The sequence below is a fragment of the Homo sapiens genome, chromosome 14 (genome assembly GCF_000001405.40).
Source record: "Homo sapiens chromosome 14, GRCh38.p14 Primary Assembly".
Taxonomy (NCBI): Eukaryota; Metazoa; Chordata; class Mammalia; order Primates; family Hominidae; genus Homo; species Homo sapiens.
This window is the reverse complement of record NC_000014.9, coordinates 97,924,269-97,948,264: the sequence shown is the minus strand read 5'-3', so window position 1 is coordinate 97,948,264 and position 23,996 is coordinate 97,924,269. Positions and strand designations below refer to the sequence as shown.

Sequence of the window (23,996 nt, the reverse complement as noted above, 5' to 3'; positions counted from 1 at the left end):
TAGGTGGAAATGAAGGATAAAGTCTGAGGATGAGGGACCAATGCAATGAGGCTGCTTTAGGAAGACCCCTGGAGATCCCTCTCTCACCACTCATGGAGTCTGCAGCATTCTGTGATCTAACTGTTTGGCAGTAAGTTTAGATCACTTTGTGAGGGGTCTCCAGCAGGTAGAATAGTCTGACCCAGAGCCTTATGAGTGGGTACACACCTGTCCATTTTCATGATCTGATTCAGTCGTTTGTGTGTCCATTCGTTCATTTGAAAATCCCTATGCAGTATCTAACACATCCTGGGAACTGTGTTTGATGTTGTATAGAGAGGGGTAACAAAAATATGGTTCTAAAGGAGATAGTTTTGCAAACCCATGAAAGACACAGCCCACCTCTCATGACAACTCAATTTGAATGAGACAGACACTAGTTAAATAGGCAAACAATCACATAAAGTGGCAGTTGCTATGGTACGGCAGTGTAGGATGCTAAAGATATAGGGAAATAAGTCCTAACCCCCTCTTGGCGATTCAGGAATGGTTTCCAGGAATGGAATCAGAGCTGGTTTTGAAGAATAAGTAGGTGTTTTCCAGGTGGAAAAATGACAGCAGGATATCCCTGGTCTAGAGAATAGCATGTGCCAAAGTCATGGAGGGTGGGCAAAACAAACACAAGCAGAACTTGGCTGGGGCATGTAGTGTGAGGTATGCTCACGGAGAGGAAGCTGGGAAAGAAAGCAGGGGCTTGACCATGAAAGACCTTCAAAGTCATGCTAAAGAGATGGCCCATGGATCAGATGTTCAAGTTAGGAATTCTCTCTCTGGCAGCAATGGGGAACAGGGGATGGAATGGCAGGAGGCAGGGGGCAGTAAGATCACAGAGAAGCTGCTGTAGAAGCCCAAGTGCTCAGTGATGGGGTGGCCTGGATGTGGCTGGGCAAGGGGAGAGCACTCAAGAGACATGGAAGAGTCACCATCAGTGGCACCTGGGGATTGATCTGGTGAAAGGTAAGAGAGACAGGTAGTTGAAGATGCCTCCTGGACTTGAATGCAGAGAGGGTGGCAGTGCCATCCAGGGAGTGATAGGAAGATGAATATCCAGGTTATGTCATAAATGAAACATGGTCTTCCTTCATGTGAGGATGCTCCTCTCCCCTTCATCTGCTCTGCCCCAGGAGTCGGCTGTCAGTCACACTGCCAGCGGGGCCCAAGAAGTCATTTGCACACTCCTTGGTAATCTGGATCACTTCCATTACTGCTTTCCCTTCACTTTGAGAATAAATGAAAAAATCGACTCCTCCGGATGCCAGATTTGTGTTCCTGTGTTAGGAGATTGTTTTTTCTTTTTTGCATCTGTGTGTACGTTAAACAGCAAGAAGAAAGTCGTGAAACTCAAGGAGTTTCCCCAAAAGTAAATCAATTTGCGGTTGAATGTGCTGTGGAATTTGTTTGCAAACCTACGAGAGCGAAGCGAGCTTAAAAAAGATGCAGTTGGATGAGACTGCAAAGTTTTGGAAAGTTCTTTGAACACATGTAAACATGATATGTGTAAGCAAATGTTTAACTTGCCTTTTTTACTTCTACAAATTATATTATGAAATCAGACGTCTGTGACTCCTTAAGAATGTCAAATCAGTGTATTCCTTCAAAACAGATAATTGCTTAGTGCTGCTCAGCTTCCAGGCTCCAGGCCTTGGGAAGGCTGAGTTTCCAGCCTGACAATGAATGGGGGCTTGTCTGAGAAGTTGATTTGCATCATGCAGGTGGCAGGGCAGGGGCATTCCTTGGGCTCTCCACAAGGTGGGTCTGCCGGACACAGACCATCTGCCCTCCGGAGGAGGAGGCAAATCCACATCATTGTTTACTTCCTCTTCCTGGGGATGCCAGCATGATGTAATGATTTCATTCCCTGCTCTGCCTTGTGATGAGAGAGACCAGCACTTTAATCCATTCTAGGGAAAGATGGTGCAAAATGTATTAGATCTGATAGTCATATCAGCACTGCTTAATACTCTGCTCTCTGAGAACCAGGGTTGAAGCATCTAGAATTAAACTGCCCTTCTGGCGCCAAAGGAGATGGAATTGGCCAGATTAGTATTTATGAGCACCGTTAAAGTGGGGCGAGGTCATCTGATATGGAGGAGCTCCTATTGTTCCTAGCAAAGGGCATCCCTGTGGTTTGGAGGCAAAGATGGGGAAGATATGCTGTATAGGTCAATATTACATGCTCACACATATAATTAGGCTGTTATTACTAGACACATCTATTAACATTGCAGCCAGACCTGGAGAGATATCCTCTGGAACCATTACAGGGCTTTTCAAAGAACACACAGTCCCACTGAAATCAGCAGAATATTTCCTGGCCTCTCTACTGCACCCCAGGGGGGGTGTTCACACTCCTCAAAGCCCAGGCCAGACTCCTGTTAATGCTAATAGCAACACATGTGCACTTTCAAGGGAGAGAGGACCACACAGTGCTTAGTATGCTAGTAAGCATTAATTTGATTCCTTGGGTGCAAAACAATGTCAATGGGACCATTTTGAGGCATATGCTACTGCTCACAAGCCCAATTAAACCAAAGGATTATTGCTATGTTGCATTATCCATAGGAGATGTACATATGATAGATTATTGGGGATGCAATTTGCAGTGCATTGTTTATTCCCAATGTATTGGGTGTTTGGTGTTGCTTTGGAAAGGTTGTTTACATTGAAAGTAAACTCACATTAAAAAATATATGTATGTCTAGTCTTGATTTGGAAATTGTAAAACCACAGCTGTCACTTTCCAAAAGTCTAAGGGGGATTTTACAGGATCGTTGGAACTAGAATAAATATTACAGTCACCTACTAACTGTCTGGGTGGCAATTTTTGTTCCAAGTACTTGACTCGCTGATTCATCAAATAGTGCTGATAAATCCTGAAGATTTGAGCCTATTAAACAAAAGCTCTGTTCTCAAGGAGCTTACAATCATTATCTGAATCATTTCTCTGTCTCTGTCTCTCTCGTGTCTCTCTCTCTGTCTCTGTATGTATCTGTCTCTGTCTCTCTCTCCCTCTCTGTCTTTCTCTCTCTCTCACACACACACAGACACACACACAGAGACACAATGATTGAATGAAGAATTTATGAATACCCTTGGCTTATAGATGAAGCTTTTCTGATACTCTGAGAAGTGACTCAACCAAGGCCACCCAGCATGTAAATAAAAGAGATGGGGGGAGAAGCCAGGATTCTATAATTTCATATTTGTGACCTCTGTAAGTGACCTCCCTGAGGAGTAAAACATAAATCAATTAATGATATGGCTAACTGTTCTTCATAGTTCCCTGAATGAAATTGACCTTATGTTCAAAGAATGCAGGTTATGACTTAACATCTCTTGCATACAACCTAGCACTTTTTAATTGATGGGAGGAGAAAAAAATGGCATTCAGATGGCATAGCATTGGGGGGTGTTAGCAACCTCCCTCTCTTGAGGAGGTGTATGACAATTTTAGGACTCAAGGGGATCTTCCCCTGTCTATAATAAATATTTTTTCCAGTTTAAAAGCTAAAACCATTAAGGATCTCATGGGGCTGAATTGAGTAGGCTTTGCAGATAGGCTGACTTGAGCTGGTATCATTCACTGGGATGAGGAGGAGAGGTTATTCACCACTCTAAGATTCAGTTTTTCTTTCTGTGAGATAGAAATGACACCACCCACATTGGAAGATGTGACAGGATGAAATGAGATCCATCCTCTGCATGAGGCTGAAAAGCTCATGGCACAGTGCATTATGTTAGTTGGTGGTGAAGACAAAGTTGTTCTTGCTGGAGAAAATGACCCCAACTGTTTTATCATTTGATCCTCATCAAAACCCTACTAGAAAGTGCTCATTCCGCTATGTTTTAGACATGCTCACAGAGGATCCAAAGTAACTTATATAAGCTGGGAAAGATCATATCTGGAAAATCCAACCCACATCTCCTGTCCCCAAGTTCTGTGCTTGCTCCCTCCACTTTCACAGTCTATAGCATGACTGTGCTAGTCCTGGCTAGGGCTTCTAGTCCTGGCTTGAGAGGACCAATTGCAGGCACCTCTTCCTAATGCCAAATTCAGAGATGTCATGCTGGCAGTTTGGCATTGGCCATGGCAGAAGGAATTTACACCACAGACAGAGGCTAATGCCACAGCTCAAGGCAGTGTTTCACCAGAAGCCAGTTGGTAAACATTACTGGCACATCACTGCCCCTCTGCTTTTAGTCTTCATGTGTTCTCAAATAAAATATGATTTCTGAATGTCCCTGTTATAGTTTGGATCTTTAAAGGGAAGTATTCTTGACCCTTTTGTTAAGTTTGAGCAGGCATTGCCAAGTAAGTAGGTTCAGCTTTTTAAAATGATTTACCTCCCAAGGCACTTCAAAAGGATGGGTATCTTTAGTCAGCCCTGACTCAGGATCGTGGGCAGCAACACCTTGCCTGTCATCAGCATAGGCTGTTCTTGACATTCTGAGAACTAAAGACCCCTTGGATAGGGCTAGCAAGTGTCACTGCCAAGAGAAATTGTTAGTAGGAGTGTTCAGGAGTGTGTTCCTTGCTGGAAACAGGCCACATCCTCTATAGCAGGGAAAGAAAGAGACTATTTCCAGATGACCTTTTGCAGGCACATCAGCTGATAGCAGGAGACCCTTCTGCCTTGGAATCAAAGGATGAGAAGATGGAGACATAGGAAATAATGGAATTGTTGCTGATAGCAGATTCATGGAATACATTTGTTTAATCATTGAAATTATTAGCAGCTGCTCTGGAGATATAAGGATAGGGTCACCGTTTGTTGTCCATATCAGATCTATAGTCTCTAAGTCAAGCAAAAAGCATCAAACATGAACCTGGAACAAAAATTCACAGAAAAAGTCTATATTCACATATGGTATACTCATGATATGTTAAGAAGAAATAACAATAAAAAATAAACAAATCCCAGCCATTTGGGTTTGAGAATTTGGGGATAGACCAGAAATTTTAGGTGGCTTCTGTGTCTTCTAAAAAGAATCACAAGCAGGAACCAGAAGATAAATTAGAATGTGTTTGTCTCCTCCAGTAGGGAACTCCTTCTATGTGTGCGCATGCACACACATACACACATACACACACTCCCCACATTTTCTCTAAATGAAAACATCACTGCATTCTCTGGGCCAAAAGAAAAATTCTAGCTATGTGGTCTGAAGAAAACAATTCTTAGAATATTTCCATGTCAAGAGGCAGTGTAAGGGGTACAATTTTTATCCTGTTGTTAGCAGAATTGTAGAACATTTTTTGCTTTATTAAGATGGATAGAAATTCTGACATCAAACTATTCTGAAAACAAGGAAGCAGATAAAACAATTGGGACAGATGTACACAGTTCTAGAACTCATTGCTATGGTCTGAGTGTTTATGTCCCTCCTAAACTTACATGTTGAAATCCTGATCCCCGAAGTGACCATATTAGGAGTTCACCTTCATGAATGAGGTTAGTGCCCTTACAAAAGAAACCCAAGAGCTGCCTTGTCCCTTCAACCATGCAAGGACATGTGGAGACGGTGCCATCTGTGAACCAGAGGGCAGGCCCTCATCACATGCCGAGTCTGCTGGTGCCTTGAATCTTGGACTTCCCAGCCTCCAGAACTGCAAGAAATAAATTTCTGTTGTTTACAAGCCACCTAGTCCATGGTAATTTATTATGGCTGCCTAAGTGGACTGAAACACTCATAGAAGTATTAAATGAATGGAATCAAGTCAAATCATCTTCCTCTCTTTCCCTTCCTCTTCTTCTTGCTACTTCTCTTTCTTGTCCTCCTTCTCAACATCATCCCTTTTCTTCCTCTTTTTTCTCCTCTTCTTCTTTTTCTAATTGGAATAATAATTTTACCTTAAGAATCATATAGAGAGATATTTCTTCACAGAGACCACAGTGGAAGAGGTTCCTTTCCTCATTTCACTGGCCACAACTCCTGGATATCCTGGATTGGATTTACTTTTCTGAAGAACTAGTAAAAGAAACCACTTCTACTTATACTACCAAAGGCCAAACTGGAAAGACAGCACATTTCTAAAACATTGCCAGAATCTTTAAAGCGAGGAAGGAGACCTTTTCTTCAACTCCAAGAAAAATGCGTCTCATTTATCCCCTTCACGTCTTTCTCCTGAGCCATTTCTGCCAATCCTCCAAATATGTATTTACATACATGTCTTCAAACACGATCCACTTGCCCAATGTACTTTAATGGCTACAATAAAGAATTAACACTGTGGATAGAGCTAAGGCATTTTCAGTGCAGTTAAAAAAAGAACACTGTGGTTTGGTTCTGCTGAGGCGATATTGCTCAACAGTTAATGTAATCATATTACAAGTGCTTGTATTAAAATCATATGCAAGACAAAAATCGGTCTGAATGGCAGCAACTAACGAAAGACAAAGAAAGATCTGTGAGTTGTCATAATCCATTAAAGAAATGTTAGTAGGAGAAGGTACTGACATACACACTCACACACACATAGATAGCCAGAAGAACCGATAAGAACCCATAAGGGGATTTGCAAAAACACAAATGGATTTCTGGGAAAGCTTCTCTTCATACACATCCCTTCTGAAGGACGTCAAGCTTCTTGGCCATGATAAGCAGTGTGCTTAGAAGTGATGGTCACCCCAGACCTTGTATAGACCCACTGCAAAGCCACGTCCAGCTTGATACGTTGGGACATTGTGCAATTTTTCATTAGCTGGGATTTTGCCAGACAGGACCTGGCAGGTAGCTCCTTGAAAGCTGATGACTTTCCTAGTGTGGTCCTGGTTTTTGTTGGCAGTTGAACTCTGCCATTTTACACATTCCTGCGGTAGGGATTAAGTCTATCAAAACTATAAAGTTTCTTATAATATTAGACATTGGGACACAAAGTCAGCCTCTGGCAATGGTCTCCTTCCCCTTCCTCCATGCAAAAAAAAAGTCAGACTTAAAAAAAAAGTATTTATTTTTGAATGTGTAGTACCTGGAGTCTACTTCAAACACTTTTTCATGGAACCAGAAGCATCGAATGTAAGGTTTTCCCAGCAGGACTTTACATAAACTTGAAACCCTGCCTGGATTTTCCATTTCCCCTCAAGGAAAGAGTTTGTAAAGGAGCCAGTGGAGGATCAGTAGCCAATCGTAGTCGGAGGGCAAGTTGAGCAAGGGAGTACTCAATGGTGAGAGTCTTAAGACTTCAAGGTGACAAGGCCTAACCTGCAAGGCAACACCAGTAAGTGGGAGAAAGCTCATCTGTGGATGACGTTTTGTTTCTCAGTTTGTGGAACAGTTTTCTTTGTGCTGCTCATCCTATCCATCTTGATTTCAACTTGCTTCCTCCAGCTTGGCTTTAAAGTGGAAGAACCATGTCAGACCAAACTGCCCTGGTATGCCTTTATTCCTGCAGCAAATAGCCAACCTTTGAAGGAGGAGAAGAGGTCCCATGTCATAAGCCTGAAAATGTTTTTCAACATAGAAAATTTTGGAGAGAATCCTTCCTCCATTACAAATGCCTTCCTTTGTTTCTTGACTTTTTAAAAATAGATGGATGGATCAAGAAAATATGGTACATATGAACAGTAGAATACTATTCAGCCATGAAAAAGAATGAGATTCTGCCATTTGCAGCAACATGGATGGAACTAGAGGGCATTATGTTATGTGAAATAAGCCAGGCACAGAAAGACAAATAACTGCATGATTTTACACATGTCTGTAATCTACAGAAGTTGATCATATAGAGTTAGAAAGGAGAATAATGGTTAACAGAAGCTGAGCAGGGGTTGAGGGAGAGAGGATGAGGTGATATTGGTCAATGAATACAAAGAAAGGTCTTCCTTTTTTGACACCGAGGAGAATGAAAATGTTTCTCTTAACAGACCACAATAAACTGGTTCAACCACTTGAGAGGTTTACTTTCTTTTCTTTTTCTTTTTTTTTGATTTATTAGTCTAAATAATAGAAGGTAAAAGAGTATTCCTACCTATGTTTTGTTTTCCACTTGATATAAATTACTATTATCTTATTTTTAGAATTCATATAACAGACCAATTAGAATGGTTAATCTTACAAACTTTACCACTCTGGTCAACGTAGATTTAGAAATGATTGTAATGACTTCAGCCGCCACAGATCCAGCAAAAGCAGACTCTTTTTCGGTGTGCATGTGTGTGTATGAGGGTGAATATTACATTTGTGGCCATTGCTTTCTGAATTTTATTATTTTTTTCTCCTGTTATACACTTCTCAGTATTTGGTCTGGCTTGTCTTTTAAAAAGTATGGTGATTTCCTCTTAAATGACGTAATTTTATGAAAGACTAAAGCTTTGCAAACTTGAGTTTGGCAGTGAGAATTCCCAGTATTTATATGTCTGTTAACATGAATATAAAAAGGGCTTAGATTAGTCAGACAACTGCAGCTCATGTTTTTGTTTTATGTTTTTGTTTTGTTTTGTTTTTTTGTTTTTCTTCTTGCCTTTCCTCTTTCTTCTCTCTTTCTTTCTGTCTACAAATATGTTAAAGTACTTTCTAAATGCCAAAGTCTGTGTTGGGAGTGGTAAAAATAGAGGTTGATCAGACAGTCCTTGGCCTTCTAACACAGGATGATACATGGTCATCAAAGAGAGACTATGAAAGGGCATGTTCAGGTCAGAAAAGGCACACATTAGGTCCCTGCAGGGTCCCATGAGAGCCTGTATTTTGTCTTGGGTGGGGCCTGTGGAGGGTAGAAGGGCTGTAGTGGGTTTCCTAGAGGAGCTGACTTTCTTTCTGTGTGGAACAATCAATTGCTGATGCCCAGGCAGTTTGGAAGGTGAGGGTGAGCAGGGTGCTCTAAGGGCCCCAGCATAAGCAAAGTTTATAAAAAAATAGAGTGTGCGAGATTTCTGGATTTGCAAGCAAGGTGCCAGGTTTGCAGTATGTAGGAAAGGGAGACAGAATAAGCAGGGGCCAGAGATGAAATGCTCTGTGCACTTACTAGGCAGCTTGAACTTGACTCTTGAAGTGATGACATGCCCTCACAGACTTTTAAGGAAGAAAGAGAGAAGATGGTGCCTAGTCCAGTGGGCAAACATGCACTTTCTAGGCCTGGTTTTCTGGGTTCAAATTCCAGTTCTATTATAGTTGAATGGTGGGATCTTAATCAAGTCATAATATCTCCTTGTGAATGAAGCTTTCCTCAGCTGCTCAGCTGTCAAATGGTGACGTTAAGTAGGGTTCCTAGCTCCAAGTGTTGACATAGCCAAGCAGCAAATGCATCTTCAGGAAATCTGCTGTAATAACAAGGGCAGAGCATAGAATAGTGAGAAGGTGTGGGAGAGAAGCAGCTAGACATTTCTCTGCCATTTGCTTTGGCCACTGGACAGTCATGGAACCCAAACAGGCAAGCTCACCTTGCAAACCTTGGCCTCCTCATCTGTTTAGTGGGGTTGAGAAGATTCACCACAGGTGGTTGAAAGGACCAGAAAATAAAAAATACAAGCATGTTGCCTAATGTGCGTGCTGGCACATATTAGGACCTCAATGCCCCGTCTCCTCCTCTTTGCAGTAGATTGATGCCAAGGAAATATGACTAGTGTTTTCAGACTCTTGAGAAGGTTTGATGCCATGCCTGCTGATTATGATACATGTACCCTAAACTAAACTTTTGAGAATGGAGTCTTTTCTTGGAAAAAAAATAAGTCAAAAATAAAGTCACTAGGTTGTATGTCTCAGAATGAATTCTCTAAGTCTCTCGGGAACCTCAAAAATTGGAGATCTTTAAAAAATAACCTCAGTGATTTTTTTTTTTTGTGGCCAAGCATTTACAGAGATGTTTATTTGATTTTTCCTAAAATATCAGTCTGCATTGTGTGCCACAACTCCCTACTACATGGATGATACCCCAAGATACGAACATTCATTATATCATGTTCACTAGACAAATGGTCATTCTAAAATGTAGCCATGACTATATGATTCCCCTACTCTAAAACCTCTCATGGCTGCCTTCAACCTCCAAAAAAGATCAGCCTCTCAGCATGGCAAACCAGCCCTCATATGCTGGCCCCATCATGGCTCCAGGTCTCCCCCTGTCCCCCTGTTCACGTCATACCTTCCTACTTCTAGTTATTCAACCAGATTCTTCTGCTGTTTTGTTTTTTTCGCAAGCTAGCCATCACTCTTAGATGTTCTTCCTCTATTTATCCATCTGGAAAACTTCTGTTTACTCTTCAAAACCTAATAGAAACTGTATTCTCCTGGAAGCCACCCTTGACCCCTATAAAGAATGTTAATTACCTTTTATTTTAATGGTAATTCACTTTACTCACAATTTTATTAGTGAACTCCTATGATTCTGCACTTTATTTGCTTGCATATGCCTTCCCTGCTAGAACATAAGCTCTTTGGAAGCAGAGAAAACAACACCAGGTGAGAGATGACCACAAAGCTATGGAAGATGAAAAATGAATTGACAAATGGTAATTGAAGTAGCTTTGCTAAAAAGCTTCAGTCTAATGATCTATAGACGTCTCTAGTAAGAAGCAAGAGGATTGGTGCCAAAGAACCTGGAGAAGGCTCAAAAATTGGAGGTACCTGGTATTTCTGAGAACCAGGGTGCAAGATGGAATGGAAAATAGGAGGCCTGGCTTAAATTCTGTGTAAGGGATATTCAAACCTCTAGAGAATCCCCCCTTATGCAGGGTTACTATCAAAGTGTCTCTCACTTAGAGAAACCAGGCCCAGCGAAACCAGAGGTCATGCTGTAGAAAGAAATTAGGGTGGTTAGCTGCCTTTCTGGGGCACTGGACATTGACCTCCAGCCCTGCTCGGCTGCTGGACTCCCAGCACGCTGGCATCACACATAGCATCTAGGCATCCTCTTGGGAGAAACTGACTAGACCAGAAGAGAAGACTACAGGCACTGATACTTCAGGGTCTTCCATTTAAGCAACCATGAGGCTCAGCAGTAGATAAGCCCCACCCGTGAACAAAATTCTATTTAGATATTTACTTCCTCACTCCCTAATAAGAATTGACACCAAGTATCTTCAGACATTTAATAAAGCTCCGAGCATAAAATAGTCGCTAAAACAAACAAACAAACAAAATTAAGGGAGATAGAGACTGTACTGGCCAGAAGAAAACTGCAAATAATTATAATTATTTCCCTATCCTTAGGGAAATAAGAAAGAATATTACATTCAAGAAATGTTAGAGTGCAATAAAAGAATATTCAGAGTTCAATAAATAACTCTTGGTTTCTAACAAGTAAAACAGAAAAAAAAATTATAATAGGAGAATTAAGAGATGAAGTTAGGAAAATCTCCTTGGAAAATGAACAAAAAAGTCAAGAATATAGAAAATGGGGTAATAAAAATCAATGGATAAATCTAACAAACCAAATGTTTGACCCATATCAGTTCCAGGAAAAGAGAACAGAGGGGGAAAAAAAAAGAGAAAAAATTTCAAGACATAATGCAAGAAAATTTCTTAGAAATGAAACACACAGGTTTTCATTTGAAACATATTTCATCTTCCCCAAGTGACCAGCAGAGTTAATATGAAACCATCCACATCAAGGCACATCAGCATGGGGCTTCGGAATAAACACAAAATCATATACACTTACAGAACAAAAGTAAATATTCAAATGATAAGAAAACTGTAGGCCACTGGATTTCTAATGACTGACACTGGAAATTAGAAAGCAAACAATGCTTTTCTTATTGTGAGAGAGAATGACTTTCAACCTTAAATTATACCCCATCGAAACTCTAATCAAGGTAAAGATAAAATAAAGATATTTTAAAAATCATAAGCAATCAAAGTATGTATTGCCTTCTTAGGAAGATTCTAGAATATATTCTCTGATATAATAAGGTATTGGGCCAGTAATAAAGAATACACAGAATTAATGAGAGGGGAAGGAAACAAAGAAAAGGGGAAAAAAGAAATCCCAAGATGAGAGTAAAAAGAAGTCCAAGCTTAAATTTAAGCAGCCACCCTAGGAAACAGTCAGTCCAATTGGAGCAGGGCAGAGGAATCAAGAATGGGTATTTCAGGAAAAAAAAAAAAAAAAAAAAAAAAAAAACAGCAGTAGTAAATTACCAGTGTTTGTCTATATTGTGAGTTGTCTTATAGTAGTTTTAAAGGTAAAAACTGGATAAGTAATAACTATCTATAAAATTAAACACCAAATAAGAATAATAAATAGTTATTTACTCCAGGGGAAATAGCTTCACCATCAAGAATGTGTAATTGTAGTGTATTATGAGGCTCAGTATACTATGTGATTCAATATTCAACTTACCCAAACACTTCTGACTTATCAAAAATTTAAATTAAAACTACATGGGAGGGGTGTGTGTGTGTGTGTGTGTGTGCGCGCATTTTAAGAGAGTTAGATCAGCATCTCTCATAGCATGAAGTAAATAATATTTTAAAAACAAAATCAATAAATGTCAGTCTTGTAAGGATATTGTTTAGAAAATTGGAAGTATTATAAAAACTAGCTAATACTCTTACCTCTGCAAAGCAGGAATCTGGAAGATGGGTTGGGTTAAAGAGGAAACTCTCATTTCATGTCCTAATCTTTGTATTATCATTTGGTTTTAAAATTGTATTCATCTGTTATTTTAATAAATATTTTAAAACTTCCTAAAAGGAAATATTGTGGTTTGAAAGCCTTGCTAATTGTCACTTGAAACTTATAAGAGGTACTTAAATGGCTTGTTTTCCATACTTGCAAAAAAATGAAGCCATGATCTAAGGGGAAATGGTAAAATAATAAAAATAATATAATTTATTGAACATCTACTAGGTTCTAGTGGCAACGGTTAGGTCATAGATATATAGATTACTTATCTTGTGAAATTCTCAAACCAACCGGAAGTTATATACTGTTATTCCCAAATTAAGCTGAGCAAGATTGTAGGAGACCATGCAGGTAGTGAGTGGATAAAGCAGAACTTTACCCCAGGCTTGTCTGACTATAAGTTCCATGAGTGTTTCCTTATCCCATACTGCCTTTTGCAATCCAGTGCTGGCACGTTAAACCTGTGGCATAATAGGGATAGGTGTTCCCTAGACCCAACCACAAAGGGTCAGCTCACGTCTCTTCCCCTGGATGGCCTCTTTTCACTGCTCCCTTCTGGAAAGTTTCTGTCTAGGTCAAGGGCATTGTGGGCCACATCCCATATGGCAGTAGGTGACCACGGCTAATGTAGGCCTTGTACTGTTTTATGTGTGTGTTGGTTTATGTGTGTGTTGGTTTGTTTGCAGGATAAGCCTCAGAAGAAATGTTTGTATGAGTCTTCTCTTGTAATAAATTATCACCAACTGGGTGGCTTAAAGCAATACAAATTTATTTTCTTTCAGCTCTGTAGGACAGACATCAGACATGGGTCTCACTGGACTCACATCAAGATGCCAGCAGGTTGCATTCCTTTCTGGAAGCTCTAGGTGGAAAAATGTGTCCCCTTTTTAAGGTCACAGATGCCTCCCACATCCCTTGGCTCATGGACCCCTTCCTCTTTCTTCAAAGTCAGCAACATCATTTCTCTCTGACCCTTCTTCATGGTCCTCTCTCCCTCTGACTCTGAACTCAGCCAGGAATGGTTCGTGGATTTCAAGGACCCTTGTGACTATATTTAGTGTCCTCCCAGGTGTACTAGGATCATCTTCCCATTTCAAGGTTTTTAACTTTATTACATCTGCACAGTCCCTTTATCCACATAAGGGGACATATTCATGGGTCCTGGGGACTAACGTGGGGCATCTTTAGGGTGCCTTGATTCTGCCTATTGCAATATCTCATCACAGAGACTCAGTGGCTCCCCACACAGCTGCAGCCACCAAGCCCAGCACCTCTCTCTCTCCTCTTCATTGCACAGCTGAACAGAATGCACAGTGAACAACGTCTTACTCCTTGTGCGAAGAGCTGCTGCATGATGATTTGAATGCAGGATAAAAACCACACACTCCCAGCAAACACCGTGCCTTCCCCTTGGTTCAAGGATGACACTATTGTTCCCATCACATTCAAACATGTGCATTTGGAAGATGTCTCCATTTCTAGATCCTTTATTGTCAGGGAATATGAATTCTCAAGTGCAAGAGAAATTCAGTTCTGCCAGGTCTATTAGCCCTTATGTGCATTTAAGGAGCCTGATGTGTCAGGGTTGACACAATGAACTCCAAGGACACTGCTCAAAATGGCCCCTCCAACTGGGCACAGCTCTGTACCAGGAACAGTGCCAATGAGCATGTGTATTTGTGTGTTTTTATACCCAAGTGCTGTAAAAGAAGGCGGTCTGCTTAAAGACTTACAGTTCCAAAGAAGGCAAATGTAAGGGCAAAATTCATGATGCTCTGTCACCTTGAGCTTCAGCTTCCTGCCTTGTTGATGAGGAAAATGATCCCTACTAAGCCGGGTGTTGTAAATAGTAGGCAATATCATAAAACCCCTAGCAAGATGCACTACATACAAGGCAATGAAGAAAAAGTGGCTACTTTTTCTTCACTTTTGTTTGTTCTCTGATCTGTGCAATTATTTGTACCAAATATACTTGAAGTATGAAGTTGGTGGCTATTGTCACAAAGGTAACAAAACCTGCTTTTAAGAGACTTGGAGTTTATCAAAGGTTACATGTAGACAGAATGAGGCCCAGTAGACTTTTCACCAGGAAGGCAGACTTTGTCCTGGGCCTTGGAAGATTGCAAAGAGAGGAAGAAAGAAAAAGTTTCTCCTTACACTGGGAAAAGTTCATGCAAAGGCAGAGAGGAAGAGCAGAGCCCGAGATGTTCAAGACAGGGCTAGTGTGTAGCAAGTAAGTGATGTGGACACACACAGCCAGTTTTCCTGCTGGTTTACCAGGTAAAATCAAAAGACCCTCATGCCAGCCAGGCGCAGTGGCTCACTCCTGTAATCCCAGAACTTTGGGAGGCCAAGGCGGGCAGATCACGAGGTCAGGAGATCGAGACCATCCTGGCCAACACGGTGAAACCCCGTCTCTACTAAAAATACAAAAAATTAGCCGGACGTGGTGGCAGGTGCCTGTAGTCCCAGCTACTTGGGAGGCTGAGGCAGGAGAATGGCGTGAACCTGGGAGGTGTAGCTTGCAGTGAGCAGAGATCCAGCCACTACACTCCAGCCTGGCCGACAGAGGGACTCCGTCTGAAAAAAAAAAAAAAAAGAGAAAAAAAGAAAAAAAAAAGGCCCTCATGCCTACTCTCACCACCTCCAAATACCCGAGTTGAAGGTAGAATGTTCTGGCCTTGAATCAGGAGAGCTATTCCAAAGCACCTGTTGTACAAGAAGCACACTTCTCAGACTTTGGCAAGAAAAAGTCTTCCTGCCCTTTTAAATAGTCTTTGTGATGGTTAATATTAAGTGTCAACTTGATTGGATTGAAGTATGCAAAGTATTATTTCTGGGCATATCTGGGTATTTCTGGGTGTTGCCAAAAGAGGTGAACATTTGAGTCAGTGGCCTGGGAGAAGAAGACCCACCCTCAGGAAGACCCACCCACAACATGGGTAGCACCATCCAGTCGGCTGCTAGTGTGGCTAGTAAAAGCAGGCATGGTTGGGCGCAGTGGCTCATGCCTGTAATCCCAGGACTTCGGGAGGTCAGGAGTTCAAGACCAGCTTGGCTAACATGGTGAAGCCTCATCTCTACAAAAATACAAAAGTTAGCCAGGCATAATGGTGGGTGCCTGTAATCCAAGCTACTCAGGAGGCTGAGGTGGGAGAATTGCTTGAACCCTGGAGATGGAGCTTGCAGTGAGCCGAGTTAGTGCCATTGCACTACAGCTTGGGTGACAGAGCAAGACTCCGTCTCAAATAAATAAATAAATAATAAAAATAAAGTAAAAACAGGCAGGAGAAATGGGAGAAGATGACTTAGATCACCTCCTGAGTCTTCCAGCCTTCATCTTTCTCCTATGATGGATACTTCCTGTCCCCGAACATCAGATTGCAAGTTCTTCAGCTTTTGGACTCTTGGACCTAGACCAGTGGTTTGCCAGGGACTCCTCTTGGGTCTTTGGCGTTGGCCACAGACTGAAGTCTGCACTGTCGGCTTCCCTACTTTTGAGGTTTGGGGACTTGAATTGAGCTACTACTGGCTTCCTTGACCCTCAACTTGCAGATGACCTGTAGTGGGACTTCACCTTGTGATCCTGTGAGTCAATTCTCTTTAATAAACTCTCTTTTGTATATACATATATCCTATTAGTTCAGTCCCTCTAGAGGACCCTGTCTAATAAAATTCTCATATGTCCCCAACATGGGTTACATGTGTCATATGTGCCATCTCCTGTCATCTGCATCACACGTGCAGATCATTGTGTGGTGCACATCATTGGCCCAATGTTCCAGGAAAAAGCTCAAATTCAGAGAGGCTAAGTAACCACACAGCTAGTGGTAAGTTTTTCACCAAGGTCAGTTGATCCTCAACTCTGCATATTTTTCAGCCTTCTGCTCTATGCATTTCTCTCCACTGGACCTCCCTCCTCAGCTTTACATTCCATCTGGTTCCACAAGCACATATTTCCCTGTGCTTCCATAACATTATTTTTTTCCCATTTTTACACCAAATTTAAACCATCGGAGACTCATGTTCTAACATTTTTTCAGACAAAGGATTTGGAATGTTTGCAAGAGCGGTGGGGATCATAGACCATCGGGTTGTGTTTCCCCAGCAGGCATTCAGGCACTTCTTCAGCCAGCCTGGTCCTTCCTCTTGAGTGGTGTCTCCTCTGCTTTTTGCCCCATGTGGTTCTCTTCCCACACTGAGTCATTCTACATCTCTAGATTCACTCTGTACTCTCCTGCCTCATGCCTTCTTTCACTCTGGTCTCTTTTTCATAATATCTACCCCTTTCCTCAGTTTCATATTCCAAATTCCACCTGTTCATTGAGGCCTACCTTAAACGGCACCTCCTCCAAGAAGCCTTTTCCTGATTTATTTAAATGCAGGAATAATTCTTCTAAGTCAGGCATTGGCAAATGATGGCCTATGGGCCAAGTCCAACCCATCATCACATGTGTTTTTAAGTAAAGGTTTCTGGAACATAGCCAGGCTCATGTATTATCTAGAGCTGCTTTCCTGCCAGTGACAAAGGTATGTAGTCAAGACAGAGATCAAATGGCCAGCAAAGCAGAAACTAAGAAACTACTTACAAGCTTCCGTCTGTTTACAGAAAAGAAAAATTGCTAATCTTTGCTATAAGCTATAAACATAAAATGATTCTGTGACTTGTGAGAAATTTTTATGGCATGATTTGAGTGCTGCTGTTGATGAAGGCTGTGTGTGTGTGTGTGTGTGTGTGTGTGTGTGTGTGTGTGTCCACCATGGGTAGGAAGCTTCCAGGCTGGACCATTCCACATTGGAGGGAGCTCAGTATTATCTGTCAGCAGTGGAAAGACTACAGGTCCTTGAATCGGAATCAAAGGCCTATTACCTGTGCAACCTGGGCACATTACTCAACCTCTCTTTTCCTCAGCTTCCTCATCTGTCTCAGTGAGGACAACATTAGCAGCTACAGAGCTGCTGTGAAGGTGAAATGAAATAATATGTTCTTTGTTCTAGCACAATGCCAGGCGCACACAGTAGGTGCTCAAACAACATGTGTTCCCTTGTAACGGTAAAGAAACTCATTCCCATTTTTCCTGCCTTTCAACCACACCAGCCCTGTAATGGCTGGCTCAACCCTGAGGCCCAGGGCCTCCTCGACATAACGTGGAAATCCTTGACATTGAACCTGAAAGGGAATGGGGTGGGGGAGGTGGAGCTGGAGCCACCTTGGCCTCAGCCCGCCAGCTCATTTCACAGTGAGCCTCCCAATCCGCTAGCTGGAGACTTCCCGTCATTAAGAGCCTGGGCTGGGTTCCAGCTGGTGCCCTGGAGAGGAGAGGTTTCTTATCCCATTACCAGCCTCCTAAGCCAGCCCGTTCCCCCCAGGATTAAGATCTTATAAACATCAGCCAGTCCTCAGGGGTGATCCGCTGAGGGCCGCCCCCATTGATTCCAGATGGAGAAGAGACTTGTTTTGAGGAACAAATGTTAACTTTCTCCTTTCAGCAAGGAAAAAAACAACAACACAACCACAAAGAACAACGCAACCTGAATGTCTCACACAAACCAGGTGTTTTTCTTCTTCTTCCCAAGACTCAAAGAATGAGAAGTTATTTTTAGGGGGCTGTGGGCTGGAAGCACCATGACGGTGTGCCTTTTGTCCTTTGGAGTCTCCACCAGGGCCAGCGCAGAGATAAGGGGTGGGGCGGGCTCTGGTGGTTTCGGGTGAAAATCTGCCATCGCGGAGAGATGCCAGCAAGCAACCAAGTGGCAATCTTTATATGGAAGCTCTGCTCTCCAAGAAAGGTTTTAGTTTGCTTAATTTTTCTCCTATGGGTTGTGCGGCAACTCTTGTCTCTATCTGGGCTTTGTAAAACCCCAGCAGACCCTGATACGATGCTGTTCTTTTCAGTGAGAGGCAAACAGCCCATCTGCTGAAGCTTCCAACATCTTCTTCTCTTTCTGATGGAGACTCTTCTAGTGTATAAGCTCAGGCCACTGTTAACATCGGGAATGGTAGTAACAGCTCTCACCTTCGAGGACAGCTTGGATTACCACCTGCACAGAGCCCCATCTCTGAGCCAAGTTATGGTTGATTTCAATTCCACGTCACATCGACAGGGATTTGTTTTCACCTCCACATATATAAATACCCCAACTCACAATTTGTAAGTCACCTGGAATTTCTAATTTTAGAAGCACTTTGAAATATTTGAAACAGCTTGGGTTGTGAATTTAGACAACATAAATGTAGGCACCTTCCAGTCACTTTCTAGCTCTGTGACTTTAAGTAGGGCACACAGCCTCTCTGAGCCACAATTCCACCAACAGCAAGTGGGACTATCAACGTCAACCTCATGTGATTGTTGTGAGCATGTACAAAAGTGTTTACAAGATCCAAAAAGCTGTCCAGAGGGTCCCTATAATTGTTGCTTTTGCTAATGAAATGAGCCATCCTGTTCCCCTGGTCCCCCATAAAAGGACAAATGAGAGATTTTTTTTTAATGCACGCAGAGTTCAGGAAAAGGCTCATTGAATAAGGAGAAATAAAATTTTCAGACATGTGAACCTCTATTTCTGTTCGAGACCAAAAGTCACCATATATATAGTCAAGTCAAGCAGGTGTGGACCACAGTGGCTGAGACAGTGTTCTGTGTATCAGGGCTTATCAGAACCTTACATGCTCTGAAGTGCATTGTGATCTCCAGCGGCCCCTTCTTCAGAGTGATTAGGCCACTGGGCTGGCTGGCTAGATGGCCTCGGGAGCTAGTTGATGGTTCACACAAATCTCAGAGATAGGCGTAGAGTGTGTTGGTAGGAAATCATAATGATAAGGAGAATAACAATGTTAATACCAGGTTTTAGAGGTTACTATGTACCAAATACTGATTCAAAAAGTTTTCACGAATTAACTCACATAACTTCACAGGCATGGCTGTCAGGGGCACCCAGGATACTGTGGGCTACAAGGCTCAAGTCTTTAGCTGGAACTGCAAATGGGCACAGCTCCCAAATCTACTAAAGTGTGGCAATTGTGAGGACAGAGGCCTGTCCCTGTTCCCTTCTTCATCTTCTGTTCTGGCCCAGGGCTGGGCCTAGGGCAGTATGCAGAAAGTGTTGACATTGTTCTGGAAGTAAGAATGAGACGGACAAGCTCCTCTTTGATATTTGCTGGGGTGGAGCCCCCATGGAGGGCTGCCTCACTGGAGGGACACCAATTCTAATTCCTCCACTGAACATTCTTCTCTGATCTGTTTCCTGAACAGTAACTTTCGTGGCACCCCACTGCTAATTCCAGCCAGCAAAATACCTTTCTTGAGTGTTTAAAATGTCTACAGTATGGTCCTACTCACTGTCTGTCCCCATTTCATTGAACACTCTTCTTTTTATTTATTTATTTATTTTTATTTTGAGATGGAGTCTCACTCTGTCACCCAGGCTGGAGTGCAGTGGTGCAATCTCAGCTCACTGCAACCTCTGCCTCCCAGGTTCAAGCGATTCTCCTGCTTCAGCCTCCTGAGTAGCTGGAATTACAGGTAATCCTGTAATCCTGGGATTATCTGGGATTAGCAGGTAACCCTGCTAATTTTTGTAATTTTAGTAGAGACAGGGTTTCACCATGTTGGCCAGGCTGGTCTCAAACTACTGACCTCTGGTGATCCACCTGCCTCGGCCTCCCAAAGTGCTGGGATTACAGGCATGAGCCACTGCACCCAGCCTCTCACTGAACACTCTTTATTCCTCATCTTCATCAGCCTCTGAAAAAATATTTAACTTCAGACTTTGCTCTAGTATCCCTTCCCCACTGCCCGTTTTGCTCATCCCCATAACTTTGGTGAAACCCACCTCCCATTCTTCAGTTAGTGATGAAAACAGGTAATGCAGCAAACAGAGGTGTCTTCGCAAAGTCATGTTTTAACAGCCATGATCATTCTACATGAGCAAATGCAGCTGGCCAGATGTGAGTGGATTTTGATTCTGTGTATTCTGTATATTTGGATAATTGAGCCTTGAATGGGAATTTGATAGAATTGAAGTGGAGTCAGTAACAGCCCCACCTCTGGGAAAAATGAGGAGGTGGAAATCAATGCAGTTGGAACCCTTGAACCTCTCTGGCTCTGTGTCTTGGGTCTGCTGGAGGTTTTCTTCACATTGTGTTCTTGACCAATGATGTTTGATCTACCTCTTGGAAACTAACATTCATGTATTCCATGTTGCAGATGGAAAAGTTAAGTCCAAAGATAAATAATTTCTAGGAAGCAAGATGAGAAACCAATATAGACATGAGGTTAGAATTTCTATTATTCATTTATTTTCCATAAGTACAGAAGGTTAATACATCCCTCTCCCTTTCAACCTCTTCCCCCAACATGTGTACACACATGTGCACGTAAATACACACACATCCCTTTGTCAAGCAGGATGAACACAGTAAATGTTAGTTCTGCTCCTTCTCCAAGACTTAATTGCCAATCATGAGGGGTAGCCTAATTAATACAATCATTCTGGGGTTCCCCCTGAGCTTGTGTTGATTAGAGAATCTCCCCGTGGGGTGTTTGCTACACCTCTAACCTTATGCCTCTCCCCCTGAGAGCTGGCCTCCTTCAGTGGTCTCCACCCTTATCTCTATCTCTGGGGCTGTCTTTGCAATCTTGTAACCAAAAGCAAAAAAATGTGTTCACCTCCCCTGACCCATCCCTGCCTCCCCCATCCAAGGCCTCGACTATCTCCAACTCCAGATTGCTAGAGCTCCCTCAAGTCACCACAAACGTAGCAACACAAAACAACACCCATTTATTAGCTCAGTGTTCGGTAGGCCAGAAATCCCACATGGTATGGCGGGGTCCTCTGCTCAGGGCTCACAGGGCTGGATGTCGACCTGCTGAGGCCTGGAGTCCCAGCAATGATCATGATTCAAACAAACTAACAAATCATACACAATGAACATTCATTATGCGAGGAACATTCCCTGAACTATCTCTGATTTTCCTAAAATCCTATGAGGTTGCATTGTTACTGTGTTTTTATTTTCCAGACAAGGAAGCTGAGCCTTCACAAGGTCGAACAACACATTTGATGCCATGCAACTGAGAAGTGGTTCAAGCTGGATTTGAACAAATGTAGTCAGACTCTGCAGCCTATGCATGTACCCACTGTGCTATGCTGTCGCATTGAATAAAATGCAGTGCCCTCAATACGAAGTCAATGTGAGCACATACCAAGAATCATATTGGGAAGGAGAAGTCCTCAGTAGGCAAAACACTTTCCAGCAATGTTAACCTGGATGTGGATAGAAAGGAGACTTGGGAATTTCTCTGACTTAATTCATCTCTGGGTCCATTTGAAGCACAGCAGAAGAGAGGGGAAGAGGTGCTAGGAGTGGTGGGCTCTGAGGTTCAAGCCCCGCCAATGGCCAGGCCTAATAAAGATCTAGACCTCCTTGCAGAATGAGGCTTTCTCCAAAACCCTTCAGCTGTGGTTTGGTGGAAGAGGCCTCACTACATCTAGCTAATTTTGTTCATTCATTCATTCATTCACTCATTTATTCAACCAGACTTCATGGACACTTCTCCATGTCAGGGCCTGGGCGTTGTGTCAGGGTTGCAAGGATGAGTCAGGGATTATCCGTCATCTCCCGGAATTCATGAGCACATGGGGAAGACAGCTTGGAGAAAATCACAGTAATAGGGGAAAATAAGGGCTGAGAAAAAAGTCCATGCACTGCAGCGGACAGGACAGCAGATCAGCTCCTGTGGGTTAAAAGTGGGCTGTGGGCTGGGTGCGGTGGCTCACACCTGTAATCTCAGCACTTTCGGAGACTGACGTGGGCAGATCACGAGGTCAAGAGATCGAGAACATCCTGGCCAACATGGTGAAACCCCGTCTCTACTAAAAATACAAATATTAGCTGGCCGTGTTGGCATGCACCTGTAGTCCCAGCTACTAGGGAGACTGAGGCAAGAGAATGGCTTGAGCCTGTGAGGCGGAGGTTGCAGTGAGCCGAGATCACAGCACTGCACTCTAGCCTTGTGACAGAGTCTCAAAAAAAAAAATAAAAACAAAAAAGGTGGCCTGTGGTGAGGAGTGTGACATTGTCAGAGGGATCCTTGAGTTGGTTGGTCTTGAAGATGATGAGAAGATGACATTCTAGGCAGAATGAACAGATGGGTAATGGCATGGAAGCCTATAACCAGCATGACTCAATTAGGGAATTGTAAGCAAAACCATACTTCTTCAAGAAAAGATGGTGAGGAGTGGCGAGAAGATGAGGCCAAAAGATAAATAGGGCTAGACCGCAGTGGTTTTTATCACTACTTAAGTGAATTTGAAGGAGGCGACTCTGTGCAGAGCTATCACCTTATAAACATTTCATCATGGAGGAGCCTGGCTTCCGGCAGCAATGCCTTGACCCAGTGTACATGCCTGACTGTGTTCTTGAAAAACGTATCTTGGCTAATAACGGTATAACAAAAGACAGGGGCATGAAGCCAAGTCACACCAGTGCCCTAAAAACTCTGTGTTTGATCATCTCTCTACAGTGAGTAATGCGGGGAGATCTTTATGAAACCAGACCCTGGGTTCTGCAATAGTAAGATAACTGGGGAAGTTTTGGGTAACTAGAGGATGACATACTAAAATAGCAGCATCACGAAGGGTGCAATGAAGTAAGATCAAGCTAACACGTCGAACTATTCTGTCAACACCTCTGTGTCGTCCATGTCTATAGGTTGACAATGGTAAATGGATGTTCCAGCCCAGATACTCTCTGAAATGACCTGCAGCTTTACAGAAGTAATTCTTAATTCATGCACTCATCTTTCCCCCAGACCCCAAAGGTGGCCATTCCAAAGTAGTGCTGTCCAGTGAGACTAGCATGTGCTACAGGCCCTGAGTGGAGACCCAGCTTCGCCTCTTTTGCTGAGCAAGTTTGGCATGGTGCTAACTTCTGCATCTGTCATGCAGCCACACTAACAATTTCCACCTTGCCTACCTGAAGATGTTGATGAGAATATCGAAAATTGTGTGTGTGTGTGTCGTGTGTGTGTGTGTGTGTGTGTGTGCATGTTACATAGTCAAAGATAGTCAACTAAGAACACTGGCTTGCAGCTCATTTCCTACTATGGCATTACATTGGAGAAGATGTCATAGATTTGTGTAGTGATGACGAGGGTCCCTGGTGGTGGCGGGAACCTGGGTGAGTCCTCCAAGTACTGGTCAAACTCCTTCCCTTCTCAGAGTTCAGGGTCCTCATCTTTGAAACAGGTGTTTGTTCTCCTTCTTGACTATGACCATCTATGTTTCTCATAGTAAAATTTTCTAAATAATTTCTTATTTTTGCTCCCTTTTTTCTCCTTTAAAAGATGAAAGACAATGTAAGGCAACAGAGTCAATCAGGCAGCTCCACCCCTGA

The 23,996-nt window shown here is 42.6% G+C and overlaps 1 long non-coding RNA gene across 3 annotated transcripts in view; it reads left to right on the top strand.

Annotated features, from left to right (window-relative positions):
- Positions 1 to 22,655, top strand: part of LINC01550 (long intergenic non-protein coding RNA 1550) — a 52,515-nt gene extending 29,860 nt beyond the window's left edge. For 2 of the 3 annotated variants that reach the window (NR_152750.1, NR_152749.1), the window contains exon 3: positions 13,384 to 15,199. This is a non-coding gene — a long non-coding RNA (long intergenic non-protein coding RNA 1550). Of the gene's footprint in view, positions 1 to 13,383; positions 15,200 to 21,620 lie in introns of those variants that run through there. The other variant, NR_015430.2, reaches the window with a different exon arrangement.
- The last annotated feature ends 1,341 nt before the right edge of the window (positions 22,656 to 23,996 follow it).